This window comes from Homo sapiens, chromosome 7 (genome assembly GCF_000001405.40).
Source record: "Homo sapiens chromosome 7, GRCh38.p14 Primary Assembly".
Taxonomy (NCBI): Eukaryota; Metazoa; Chordata; class Mammalia; order Primates; family Hominidae; genus Homo; species Homo sapiens.
The window spans coordinates 91,211,973-91,226,181 of record NC_000007.14 but is presented as its reverse complement, the minus strand read 5'-3'; positions in this window follow the sequence as shown (position 1 = coordinate 91,226,181).

Sequence of the window (14,209 nt, the reverse complement as noted above, 5' to 3'; positions counted from 1 at the left end):
AGAATGGAGGCAAGAGCCAGGGATAATCATTCCTAGAGAGATTACTGAGCTGTAATCAAGGAACTGGCAACCTGTTCCTGGCTGGATCTCAGAGCTGCTGTGGACTACTGATTACCATATGTGTTCTGTTTTTGAAATGTCTATAGTGACTGTCCTACGTCTAGCCCACCAAAATATGCTGGGTTTGTGGAAGGCAAACAACTTGTCACTTTAGTTCACAGATCTTGAGATGAGGAGCAGTCCTCAAGAAGATGTAAATGAGGATCTGAAGCTGAAGAGTGTCAGCTGCAGCACCTGAGCCTGATTCAGATGATGAGCTACTGGCCCTTGACCCTGAGACTGGGGCTGTAACAGCTGAGATATCTATGGCTCTTAGGAGGGGGGTCAGTGAGTGTATTTTGCATATGGAATCAACATAAATAACTTGCATCAGAGGGCAGACTGTTATGATTTTAGAACATGTCCACAGTTCTTTGAGACTCCTTCTATCAAAATGTGGAGTCTAATTCTCTTTCATTAAATATAGGCTGGCCTTAGTGATGCATTTCTACCAAATGGAATGCCAGGTTAATACAGCAGCGGTCCCCAAGCTTTTTGGTACAAGGGACCAGTTTCAAGGAAGACAATATTTCCATGGACAAGGGCCAGGGGGTGGTTTCAGGATAAAACTGCCCCACCTCAGATCATCAGGCATTAGATTCTCATAAGAAGTGTGCAACCTAGATCCCTCACATGTGCAGTTCACAATGGGGTTCGCGCTCCTATGAGAATCTAATGCTGCTGCTGATCTGATAGGTGGTGATGCTCAGGTGGTAAGACTCACTTGCCAATTGCTCACCTCCTGCTGTGCAGCCCGGTTCCTAACAGGCCACGGACCATTACAGGTCCACAGCTCTGGGGGTTGGGGACCCCTGAAGTACAGCTTCCACCTGGCTGTCTTGTTCTCTTGGTGCATGTTCTCTTGGTGCATTTCAAGTTCCAGCTAACTTGAAACCATCATGCTTAAGAGACCTTGTGGAAAGGCCATATTAATTTAGAGGTGTTCCACTCCAGGTGTTTCAGCTCTCAATTCTTTGAGTCTTCCCAACTCTGGTACCAGATATGCCAATAACAAAGCCTTAAAGATGACCCAATCCCAGCCATCATCTGATTGCAGCTACACTGAGCAACTGTAACCTACAACCACCAGCTGAACTGCTTCTGAATTCTTGAGCCATAGCAAGTGTGAGAGATCATAAAATGGTTGTCATTGCAAGACACTAAATGTTGGGAGAATTTATTATATTGCAATAAATATAGCAATTTATTATATAGTAATAGCAGTAATAATAGCAAATATTATTCCACAATATTTGCAACAAGGAAGCACCACTCACATTTTGTTCTGTGTGAATGGCAATTCTCAGAGTTCTTTAGTAAGATGGTATCCCAGGTTGCTGTGCAAATCCACCAGTTGTTAAGTGTTGGTTGACATCTGCAGACTTCATCCGGACTACTCTGTTTCTCACTTTTTCTCTCCTCTTCCCTGGTTTTCTACTTCTGTTTGGCTCCCTTGTCATCACATGAAATTGTTGACACTAAACCTCAAGGCTAGTCCCTAATAACCTTTTCAGCTCTGCTAATCTCTTTTGGGTACTCTAGTCTAGTTCACCCTGGGGTTTCCTCTCAATAACCCCCAATGTCCACTCTAGCACATTTGTACCTCCCAGGACCACACGTGGAGGCCCCTTCTCATCCCATCCCCAGATCCTCCCTGAACTGTGGGGGACCTGCAGGACACCCCAGTTCACACATCCAAGCTCTGTTTTCAGCCTATGCAAACAGCTGCGCCTCATCCACTCCTCAGGCGTAGAGGTGCTCATAAAGGCAGTCATGGTCTACCTTCAGGAGAACAGGGAAGAGGCCCATACAGACCCTATCTGCAGTTTGTAGAGGGCTCATACCCTTGCCCTTCAGACTCCTCACACCATGCGGAGGGACAGGCAGAGGAGGGCTAGATCAGGGCCCTCTAAGCACAGGGCCTGGGCAGGGCCACTAACTGCCCTGCATGAAAGGCAATGCTGCCCAACCCCTGAGTCCTGAGACTGTGGGGAAGTTACATGTCTAGTGCTCTCTGCTGCTCCTCCCTAGGATTCAGCAAGACTGCTCAGCTAGAGCCATCTCCTGTCCTCACCAGCAAGGAGGATGGGTAGAGACTTGCTTTTTTTCTTCTCTTTCTTTCTTTTTTTTGCGGGGGGACAGAGTTTCCCTCTTCTGCCCAGACTGGAGTGCAGTGGTGCAATCTCAGCTCACTGCAACCTCCGCCTCCCAGGTTCAAGCAATTCTTCTGCCTCAGCCTCCTGAGTAGCTAGGATTACAGGTGCACACCACCACACCTGGGTAATTTTTGTATTTTTAGTAGAGACAGGTTTCGCTATGTTGGCCAGGTTTCACTACATTGGCCAGGCTGGTCTCAAACTCCTGACCTCAAGCAATCCTCCCACCTTGGCCTCCTAAAGTTCTGGGATTACAGGCGTGAGTCACTGCACCAGGCAGAGACTTGCTTTTAGTGTGATGGAGAACTAAAAGTGATTGGTCCCAAAGCAGAGGCTAGATTATGTCATTTCTTTGATGATACAGGGTGAAATTCACACATTTTAGAGTCTAGGTCCTAGGGTCTCCATGGCCCAGTTTTATTCTTCACTGGTCCCTCTCATACACCTTATGCACCAGCCTAAGTCATTGTTATTACTTCCAGAAATTGATGCTTGGTCTCTACTTTTTGTTGTTGTTGTTAAATATGGAGTCCTTGCTGAAAAAAATTACAGTTCTAATAAGATCTGGAGGCTTCACGTGATCCTATTAAGGACAGATAATTTCCTGAGTTAGAGCCACCAGCACAAGGGTGCCCATTCATAGTCTGTCACAGAGTTTAAATATCACACTGAGGTCATCAAAAACAGGGAAGACATTAGCTCAAAGATTTACTTTGCAACTGGAGTGGCAGCATTTGCATTGCACTTCTAGGGTTCAGCCTAACCGCAAAAATGATTGGACTAAGGCCTCAACTTTATCACTTATAATATTGTGATCTTGGAAATGTTACTTCATCTTTCAGACCTAAATGTAGGCTTAGATGGTAGTGCAAACTCCAGGCTTCCCAGTGAACCCTCCCTCCCAGCCAATCAGCTAATGACAGTCAGGACCTTAGACGGCAGCTGATGACCTCTGTGGAAAGGTGACAACATTTCAGTCAGGACTTATCTGTACTCTCAGGGTCTGTTAACTCACTCACAGAATGAGATGACCAAAAATATGATTGCAATAATAAAGTTATGAATAAAACTTTAATCTTAAATAATATAGAATGAGCAGTATGAGGATCCTTAAATGACATTTGTATTGGGCTCTCAATTTTGGCAACAATTGAAAGCATGCAACCTCACCTAAAATTAATGACCAACATCAGGAAAAAAATAAAGCTTTCTTCAACCTACTGTGAATTATCTAGTACACTTAGCAGATAATAGACATAGACACTGAAGGTTAATTCAGCCTGCCTCTCCCAAGGTGTGGCTTTCCTTTGGGGTCTTATTAAAACATATCAGAACACATGTTGTCATTGTGGCATTCATATCAGAGGTGCATTCATTCAATACATCTTCCGCTACTTCACAGAAAATGGGAAAGACTTGGGAATTTCATATTTTGTTTTGCTCTGTGAACACATGGAAAACTCACTTGTCAATAGGTTCCACTTTATGTGCTTTTTGTGTGCATAAAGTGGATCTCTTTGTACCTCAAATACCTGGTGAACCCTCGAACTGGGCCATACAAGCTGCAGAAATGAGATGAGCAAGACTAGGTATCTTACTTCCTTAGGGAGCTCCAGGTCCTGAAGGGGATCAGAAAAGCCCTGCTCTGGGGAAATGAGGCGGGGGGAGGTCAAGCTCTGAAGAATCAGTGTGCAGAATTCCCTTGGAGGTGTTTGTTATTTCAAAGTTGAGTGATAACTTGAATTATACTATTTATTAATAGGTTCGATAGAGAAAATTTGGAACACTGATGTTTTTACTGTGCAATCTTGGAATCAGGGTCAAATTAACATGATGGGCGTACATGGTGTCTCCTCCCTCTGTGTGCTTGCATTTACTCCTCTGTCTGGAAAGCCTGCCCATGTTCGCTGGAAAACTCACATATGTTCTTCCAAGACACTCTCCCCACTCCCACCTCTGCCCCAGAACCAAAGCAAAATATCATACCTTTTTCTGTACTACTTCTGTAAATTGTATTTGCATATTTGTTGCATTGAAATTGTGTCTACATAGTTGTCTTCCCCAACTAGACTGTGAGGGAAGGGCAGTGTCTCACCAGTTCATGACCTGTAGTGCCTAGCTCAATGTCTAACACATTGAAGGCACTTAACAGATGCTTGGTGAAGTGAAAAATGGTAAGCAACCTAGGCCAAAGTGATTTGTCCCAAAGCAAAGGCTAGATTACATCATTTCTTTGTTTGACGATCCAGGGTGAAATTCAAACATTTTAGAGTCTAGATCCTAGGGTCTCCATGGCCCAGTTTTATTCCTCACTGGTCCCTCTCACACACCTTATGCACCAGCTGAAGCAGAGTGCCTCGATGTCCCCAAACACCCTGCATTTCTCATATTTATGTCTTTTTTGGGTTCTTCCTTTATCCTAGTGTGATGTTCTCCCCTACTTCAGTAAGGTATGTGTTAAAATGGCAATCAGTTTCCAAAGCTCAGCTTAGACGCCATTATCCTCCATGAAGCCTTCCTAGTTACTTTCAGCTAGAAGGAATATCCTCTTTTTTTCTTCTCCCTTTGCACTATGTTTCACTGTCCCTGCCACATTACACCTTGTAACTTCATTCATTTAATCAACATTTACTGAACTATAGTTAGAAAGATGAAAATATCCACTACTCTCCCTCAAAATCTCAGATTCTAGTGTGCAGGCACATAAGGGGTACTTATAATCAAATTTTAAAAGTGTTGGTTAGGTGTGATGGCTAATCTCTGTAATCCCAGCACTTTGAGAGACTGACATGGGTGGATTGCTTGAGCCCAGGAGTTTGAGACCAGCCTGGGCAACCGGCAAAACCCAGTCTCTACAAAAAGTACATAAATTAGCTGGGCATAGTGGTGAGTGCCTCTAGTTCCAGCTACTTGGGAGGCTGAAGTGGGAGAATCGCTTGAGCCCGGGAGGTGGAGGGTGCGGTGAGCCATTATCCTGCTACTGTACTACAGCCTGGGTGAGAGTGAGACCCTGTCTCAAAATAAAAAAAAAAAGTGAATGGTAGAAATACTCCATTTTTTTACAGCTCTTACGACTTGAAATTATGCATTGTATTTTTTAAAAATTCTCTTTTCCACTGTGAGTTGTTCACCATCATATCTCCAGCACCCAGAACACCCCAGACATGTGGTAGGTACTCAATAATCATTTGTTGAATACATTAGTGTAGAATAACTTTTAAAGTTTTTTTAACAGTTAATCTACAATGGAAGTTTACATCTTGCTAATATGAATTCCCTTCAAGATTATAATGTGGCTGAATTCCAAATGGTAATTCTTCCATACTGTGGCTCCATCTTCTTAGACATGTGACTTCCATGTTCACCTGCATAGAGTTGGTGCGAAAGGAAAAGAGTACGGGAATTATGTGATGCATGCTTCATAGGCCAGGCCTGGAGTGCTGCACTCACTTCTGTTCATATTCCATGCATCAGAACTCAGCCACCTGGCCACATCCACCTGTAAGGGGAGCTGTGCAATGTGGTCTAGCTGGTCTAGTCCAGGAGAAAAAAACTTAGGTAGGCTCTGTTAAATTCTATGAATGATGGAGGGAAAAATGGAGAAAAAGGTCAGCTACTCAGTGGAAGGGGCCTTGTCAGCAAAGGCTTCGTGGAGGAGGTGATGCAAAAGATGAGTCTTAAAGCAGTAGTGGGATGTGACCACCTGAGAAGGGAGGAGAAGGAATCCCGGCTAGAAGGTAAGTATAAGCTAAGCAAAGGAGTGGAAACTACCCAGCATTCCCTGAGGCTAGAAGACAGAGAGGCAGGGGGAGGACATGAAAATGGAGAGAAAGGAAGGGGAGACGGTGAGAGCGAGGTGGAGGGCTTAATGCCATTACACAGAGCTTGGAACTCACCATAGGGGATAGAAGGAGCCACTGAAAGTTTGAAGCAGGAATGCAGCACAAGTGATTTGCAATTGGAATAGTCTTCAGGTGGAGAGGACAGAGGGAGGACAGAGATGGAGGCAAACAGACCACTTAGGAGGTTATGTATTTAAACTTCCATATGGGGTCCCTACAGAAGATCACTTGAGGAAAATCTGAAGTGTATATACACTTGGGCTGCAGCCTTAGCCACTGCGATTCAGCAGGAATGTTTAGAAAGCTCCCCAGGCCATTCTGATAGTCAGCCAGGTGTAGGAATCACTGCCTCTGTGCATCATGAGCTCCTGCGAGGACATGCAGACATCTTTCCTCTTTGGTTTCTCCCATAGAGCCAGGCCCTGCCTTGCATATAATCCCATATCATTACATGTGGTATACATACAGTATACTTACATTGTTTGAAGTCTTTCAACTAAACCCTTTCTAAGAAAGGGTTCTTTCTTAGAAAGAAAGAAAAAAATTTCCATTTCACTCTTATTTAATCTGCATTATCTTTTAATAATTGATTAATATGTTTTAAAATGGCTAAACATCTACTACACCTTGGTCACCATTTTCAGGCTTGAGGATACAGAGATTGAAAATAAGACCGGTATGGTACTATTTTGAAAGTGATGTGGGGACACGGAAGAGGGAGAAACTGTTTCAGAGGAGTTCTGGAATGTTTTACAGCAGAGATAATTTTTGAAAAAGGTCTTAAAAGGATCAATAGGAATTTAATCAAAAAAACAGGGAAGGGTTTTCCAATCAGAGAGAACACTGCGTGCAAAAGAACAGCAGCATGAGAAGGCCTGGAACATCCAGGGATCTGTGGGAACTTCGGCATGGTGAGGGCAGAGGATATGCACATGGAGGCACAGGAGATGAGGCTGGAAAGAGAGGGGTTGGGAGGTAGTGGTGTGCTGGAAACTTATTCTCAAAACAACAACAAAAAAATCCAAACATGATTTGCAGAGTTTGCCAATTTTTGTGGTGTAAATATTTCCATCTGATTTCAAGCTGTCAATGATTTAAGGACTGGCTTACAAAATTCCTAAATATTTCAGAACTGGTTTTTGTGAACTGGTAGCAGCTGCCTCCAGTACATGACTGACAAGCATCCAGATCCTTTAATTTCAAAAGATGTTCTGAAAAAATGTGTGTTCCCTTGCCTTGGTTGTGCCTCACATTATGATGAGGCTTGTTTTAATGAGTTTGGAGTAGAGTAAGCCAAAGAAACACACAAGGGACCTGAAAACACACTGGAGCTATTTCTTAGGCTCCTACCACTCACCAGTAGTGCACTTAGACCCAGGCAAGAGGGGCCCCCATTTTGGTTTCTATGATCAAACAGCCTTCTGTAGACATAGCCCTTCTCTACAAAATGAGGAATCCATAGTGCCATGCCCAACAGGAACTTATCTCCCCCACTTCTCCATATATTCCAGATGTCCATGATCCTGGAACACTCTGCAAATGGAGTCTTCCCTGAGACCACCCTCCAGAGGGCATGTACCTCATCCCCAAGGGCTGCCCAAGGAGGCGCTGTTTGCTGAAGGTATGGATAATGGGGATGTGCGGGCTGGGATGTCCACACACATGCATTTGCGGCCCCTTAAATCGTGGATGGAGCTGGGGATGGGAAGTGAAAAGAAGTAGGTCAGTCTCTAGATATACAATCATGTCATCTGCAAACAGGGACAATTTGACTTCCTCTTTTCCAAATTGAATACCCTTTATTTCCTTCTCCTGCCTGATTGCCCTGGCCAGAACTTCCAACACTATGTTAAATAGGAGTGGTGAGAGAGGGCATCCCTGTCTTGTGCCAGTTTTCAAAGGGAATGCTTCCAGTTTTTGCCCATTCAGTATGATATTGGCTGTGGGTTTGTCACAGATAGCTCTTACTATTTTGAGATACGTCCCATCAATACCTGATTGATTGAGAGTTTTTAGCATGAAGGGTTGTTGAATTTTGTCAAAGGCCTTTTCTGCATCTATTGAGATAACCATGTGGTTTTTGTCTTTGGTTCTGTTTATATGCTGGATTACATTTATTGATTTGTGTATATTGAACCAGCCTTGCATCCCAGGGATGAAGCCCACTTGATCATGGTGGATAAGCTTTTTGATGTGCTGCTGGATTCAGTTTGCCAGTATTTTATTGAGGATTTTTGCATCAATGTTCATCAAGGATATTGGTCTAAAATTCTCTTTTTTGGTTGTGTCTCTGCCTGGCTTTGGTATCAGGATGATGCTGGCCTCATAAAATGAGTTAGGGAGGATTCCCTCTTTTTCTATTGATTGGAATAGTTTCAGAAGGAATGGTACCAGTTCCTCCTTGTACCTCTGGTAGAATTCGGCTGTGAATCCATCTGGTCCTGGACTCTTTTTGGTTGGTAAGCTATTGATTATTGCCACAATTTCAGAGCCTGTTATTGGTCTATTCAGAGATTCAACTTCTTCCTGGTTTAGTCTTGGGAGGGTGCATGTGTCGAGGAATTTATCCATTTCTTCTAGATTTTCTAGTTTATTTGCATAGAGGTGTTTGTAGTATTCTCTGATGGTAGTTTGTATTTCTGTGGGATCGGTGGTGATATCCCCTTTATCATTTTTTATTGTGTCTATTTGATTCTTCTCTCTTTTCTTCTTTATTAGTCTTGCTAGCGGTCTATCAATTTTGTTGATCCTTTTAAAAAACCAGTTCCTGGATTCATTAATTTTTTGAAGGGTTTTTTGCGTCTCCATTTCCTTCAGTTCTGCTCTGATTTTAGTTATTTCTTGCTTCTGCTAGCTTTTGAATGTGTTTGCTCTTGCTTTTCTAGTTCTTTTAATTGTGATGTTAGGGTGTCAATTTTAGATCTTTCCTGCTTTCTCTTGTGGGCATTTAGTGCTATAAATTTCCCTCTACACACTGCTTTGAATGTGTCCCAGAGATTCTGGTATGTTGTGTCTTTGCTCTCGTTGGTTTCAAAGAACATCTTTATTTCTGCCTTCATTTCGTTATGTACCCAGTAGTCATTCAGGAGCAGGTTGTTCAGTTTCCATGTAGTTGAGCGGTTTTGAGTGAGTTTCTTAATCCTCAGTTCTAGTTTGATTGCACTGTGGTCTGAGAGACAGTTTGTTATAATCTCTGTTCTTTTACATTTGCTGAGGAGAGCTTTACTTCCAAGTATGTGGTCAATTTTGGAATAGGTGTGGTGTGGTGCTGCAAAAAATGTATATTCTGTTGATTTGGGGTGGAGAGTTCTGTAGATGTCTATTAGGTCTGCTTGGTGCAGAGCTGAGTTCAATTCCTGGGTATCCTTGTTAACTTTCTGTCTCATTGATCTGTCTAATGTTGACAGTGGGGTGTTAAAGTCTCCCATTATTATTGTGTGGGAGTCTAGTTGTCCCTGTTTGCAGATGACATGATTGTATATCTAGAAAACCCCGTTGTCTCAGCCCAAAATCTCCTTAAGCTGATAAGCAATTTCAGCAAAGTCTCAGGACACGAAATCAATGTACAAAAATCACAAGCATTCTTATACACCAATAACAGACAAACAGAGAGCCAAATCATGAGTGAACTCCCATTCACAATTGCTTCAAAGAGAATAAAATACCTAGGAATCCAACTTACAAGGGACGTGAAGGACCTCTTCAAGGAGAACTACAAACCACTGCTCAATGAAATAAAAGAGGATACAAACAAATGGAAGAACATTCCATGCTCATGGGTAGGAAGAATCAATATCGTGAAAATGGCCATACTGCCCACGGTAATTTATAGATTCAATGCCATCCCCATCAAGCTACCAATGACTTTATTCACAGAATTGGAAAAAAACTACTTTAAAGTTCATATGGAACCAAAACAGAGCCCGCATCGCCAAGTCAACCCTAAGCCAAAAGAACGAAGCTGGAGGCATCACAATACCTGACTTCAAACTATACTACAAGGCTACAGTAACCAAATCAGCAGGGTACTGGTACCAAAACAGAAATATAGATTAATGGAACAGAACAGAGCCCTCAGAAATAATGCCGCATATCTACAACTATCTGATCTTTGACAAACCTGAGAAAAACAAGCAATGGGGAAAGGATCCCCTATTTAATAAATGGTGCTGGGAAAACTGGCTAGCCATATGTAGAAAGCTGAAACTGGATCCCTTCCTTACACCTTATACAAAAATGAATTCAAGATGGGTTAAAGACTTACATGTTAGACCTCAAACCATAAAAACCCTAGAAGAAAACCTAGGCATTACCATTCAGGACATAGGCATGGGCAAGGACTTCATGTCTAAAACACCAAAAGCAATGGCAACAAAAGCCAAAATTGATAAATGGGATCTAATTAAACTAAAGAGCTTCTGCACAGCAAAAGAAACTACCATCAGAGTGAACAGGCAACCCACAAAATGGGAGAAAATTTTCGCAACCTACTCATCTGACAAAGGGCTAATATCCAGAATCTACAATGAACTCAAACAAATTTACAAGAAAAAAACAAACAACCCATCAAAAAGTGGGCAAAGGACATGAACAGACACTTCTCAAAAGAAGACATTTATGCAGCCAAAAAACACATGAAAAAATGCTCACCATCCCTGGCCATCAGAGAAATGCAAATCAAAACCACTATGAGATACCATCTCACACCAGTTAGAATGGCAATCATTAAAAAGTCAGGAAACAACAGGTCCTGGAGAGGATGTGGAGAAATAGGAACACTTTTACACTGTTGGTGGGACTGTAAACTAGTTCAACCATTGTGGAAGTCAGTGTGGCGATTCCTCAGGGATCTAGAACTAGAATTACCATTTGACCCAGCCATCCCATTACTGGGTATATACCAAAGGACTATAAATCATGCTGCTATAAAGACACATGCACACATATGTTTATTGCGGCACTATTCACAATAGCAAAGACTTGGAACCAACCCAAACGTCCAACAATGATAGACTGGATTAAGAAAATGTGGCACATATACACCATGGAATACTATGCAGCCATAAAAAATGATGAGTTCATGTCCTTTGTAGGGACATGGATGAAATTGGAAATCATCATTCTCAGTAAAGTATCAAGGACAAAAAAACAAACACCGCATGTTCTCACTCATAGGTGGGAATTGAACAGTGAGAACACATGGACACAGGAAGGGGAACATCACACTCTGGGGACTGTTGTGGGGTGGGGGGAGGGGGGAGGGATAGCATTAGCACATATACCTAATGCTAAATGAGTAGTTAAGGGGTGCAGCACACCAGCATGGCACATGTATACATATGTAACTAACCTGCACATTGTGCACATGTACCCTAAAACTTAAAGTATAATAATAACACAATTAAAAAAAAAAAAGAAGTAGGTCAGTCTCAAGCTGAACTGGCTCCCTCTGTACTGCCACAGTTTGGTGAGGAACTTTGAGGAGTCCAAGAATCTAACCATGAATCTGTCCTTCAAGTTCATTATAAAGGCATATTTGTCAAAGTAAGAGAATAGAATAGGTTTAGTTTTTTTGTTAGTTGGGTGTGTATCTTTAAATATTTAGATATATGGTATGTGGGCCTTCATTTTTGCTTTTACCCTGGGTCCTGCAAATGTTAGGGGTGGTTCTTATCTACCCCATTACTAAGGCTGTATTCTAAACCAAGGTAAGCAAACTATAGTCCCCAGGCAAATTACTGCCCACTGCATTTTTTTAATGATGCATGTGAGCTTAGAATAGTTTTTACATTTTTAAATAGTTCTTATCCATTTGACCCAGCTATCCCATTACTGGGTACATACCCAAAGGAGTATAAATCATGTTGCTATAAAGACACATGCACACGTATGTTTATTGCGGCACTATTCACAATAGCAAAGACTTGGAACCAACCCAAATGTCCAACAGTCATAGACCAGATTAAGAAAATGTGGCACATATACACCATGGAATACTATGCAGCCATAAAAAATGATGAGTTCATGTCCTTTGTGGGGACATGGATGAAGCTGGAAACCATTATTCTCAGCAAACTATCGCAAGGGCAAAAAACCAACACTGCATGTTCTCACTCATAGGTGGGAATTGAACAATGAGAACACATGGACACAGGAAGGGGAACATCACACACCAGGGCCTGTTGTGGGGTGGGGGGGAGGGGGAAGGGATAGCATTAGGAGATATACCTAATGTAAGTGATGAGTTAATGGGTGCAGCACACCAACATGGCACATGCATACATATGTAACAAAACTGCACATTGTACACATGTACCCTAAAACTTAAAGTATAATAAAAAAAGAAAAAAAATCAAAAGAAAAGCAATATTTTGTGGCATGTAAAAATTATATGAAACCCAAATTTCAGTGTCCACAAATTGCTGTATTGGAACACATCCATGCTCATTCATGTATGTATTGTTCATGGCTGTTTTCACACTACAGCAGCAAAGTGAGTAGCTGGGAAAGAGACCGTGCAGCCCGGGAAGTCTAGAGTATTCACTATCTGGCCCTTATAGAAACAGTTTCCTGACCCTCACCCTAGAGTAGCAGACAGGCAGGAGGAAAGGAAGAGTCTAGCAGTTCTCACGCTGGCTGCACAATAGAATCACCTGTTGATTTCTCCAAGCAGACCCCCCGCCACCCATAATATTTCTTGAATGGTTTGGGGTGGGGTTTTTTTTTTAAAACTTCCTGGTGATTCAAATGAGAGTCAGGACTAAGAACCACTGGGCTAAGGGAATAAATACATGAAGGTCTGAATTTCCCAAATGTTAAGCAAGATGGTTGCAGGACTGGCCTGCTTTTCCCAGGGAATCTTAGTGGATTACAGCCTTTCTTGAGGAAGAAAGGTACCCAGTGATGAGATTTGGTTGAAGATGGAGAGGGGGCAAAAGACTAATTGTTTCTCACTGTAGTATGATTTATAAGCTAAGTTCCATTTTAACCTCTCTAAACCCTTGAACCGTTGTTTCAAACATGTATCCCTGGCATTATCCGCATCTCTCAGGCAGGCACACCTTGCGCTATGTAGCACATAGCTTTGCAGGGACCCCTGCTGGGTCACTTCTCAGGATACACCCCAACGGGGAACCCTTACGCCATCTGTGCAGCATGCCCTCCATAATTATTGGTGGTCTCGCAGGGAAGGAGAAAAAAGACAGCTCTATCAGAATCCCATTCTCCACTAGCACAGTCAGCACCATTGGCAGAGGATGGCTCTGGGGCTGCAAGGCTGCTCTGAGCTATTATTGTGCCTGGCTCTCTCTCAGCATGACTCAACGCAGACAATATAGCACACCGAGAGCATGGGGGATGAACAGTAAATACGAGGCCTTGGATTTTTTTTTAATCTTGTCAGTTTTTCCCTGATTTGTGTCCTTTATCCTATCCCCCTCTGCTATATAAGCTTCTCAAAGCTAATGCCCATAACGCCACCACCCACTGGTAGCAGCAGGCTGCTGGGCCACTGTGGGGTTCTCATTGCAGAGATTTACAATGCCCGCCATTATTCAGCAACTGTACGTGTTAACCCAGTGGCACAAGGTTGCTCCAACACCTTCCCCTCTGGTTTCTCTTTACTCGGGAGGCCAACAGCGACTATAGGAGTGCCGCCCTCCTGACTCGAACTGCTTGCCTCAGTGAGCACACATCACGTCCTCCAACCTGGCAGAGCTGGAATAGGCCCCGCTGAAAGACAGGAACGTTGGGCAATTATGAAACTGAGATGATGCTTGACATTTGTACTGCCACATTAAAAAAGTTAAAAATATTTCTCAAAGGTGTTTCTTTGGCCTCTTGTAGATATCTACCCTCCATCCCCTTCTTTCTTCTACTAAGAGCTGATGTGATTACATCTCTAAAATGTGACCTTGCTGCAAGGCTGCTGGGAGTGATCTCAACAATGAGCCTACAGGCTACTGTGGCTGTTAGGAGGTGAAACAGTGCCATACATTTTGCTCCCTCGAAACAACTCCCTGGAACAAGTTACTAATTTCACACTTCTATTAATTCTAATCAGTTTCAAGGGTGATTTATGGCTCCCATTTAACTAAGAAATGTGCCTATTAT